Raw genomic sequence first — 672 nt, forward strand, 5'->3', positions numbered from 1 at the left:
CACAACTTAATTATGAGCAGAGTAGTTTTCTGGAACCTCAGAAAGTAGTCCCTCAGGTATACATTTAAAATTACAAATCCATTTTCCAAGGGAGTGTCTCTCTGTTGAATTTAAAGAAGTAGTATTGCAGAGCAGAAAATAATGTGTTTCAGTAAGGAATGAAAGGGCTATGTCTAAGAAATGGAAGACAGAGAAAAAAATCCATGTATTATATTAAATACAGACAAACTGTGTGGTAAATTTACTACAAGAAAGAAGTTGAGCAAAGTTGGCAAGATTTAATACAGAAAGAATAGCACTTATATCTGCCAGGAACTGATAAGGGTAAACATCCATATTTAACGTTAATTCACCTTGAGTATTTAAGGGTATGGCAGTATATTGGATGTTTTTTCCATCCTTGGAAAATACTCATTGAGTTGAATTAAGATATTTTTGTCTTTGTTTTTATTTCATAAGATGGAACAAATTTTGTCCGTATGCCTCTTCTATTTAAAATATCAACAAGTGTCATTTTTGGTAGGAAGTTGGTTGGGAAGTAGCCCGCTCAGCTGTTTGATCTGCAGAGGCACAGCTTTACTTTCGGTTCTGTCTCCTTTTCTTTTGCCTTTTTCAGTTTCTTTTCTGGATACCTAAGTGTTGTACATATTTTGTGAGTACGTGTGATATTTC

General features: G+C 34.1%; 1 annotated feature.

Annotated features, from left to right (window-relative positions):
* Positions 253-453: a silencer, noted in NCBI's record as "peak3758 fragment used in MPRA reporter construct". NCBI's record gives its function as "represses an SCP1 promoter by STARR-seq MPRAs in K562 erythroleukemia cells {active_cell/tissue: K562}" and the evidence as "EXISTENCE:reporter gene assay evidence [ECO:0000049][PMID:32103011]".

The sequence above is a fragment of the Homo sapiens genome, chromosome 2, assembly GCF_000001405.40.
Source record: "Homo sapiens chromosome 2, GRCh38.p14 Primary Assembly".
NCBI classification, from domain to species: Eukaryota; Metazoa; Chordata; class Mammalia; order Primates; family Hominidae; genus Homo; species Homo sapiens.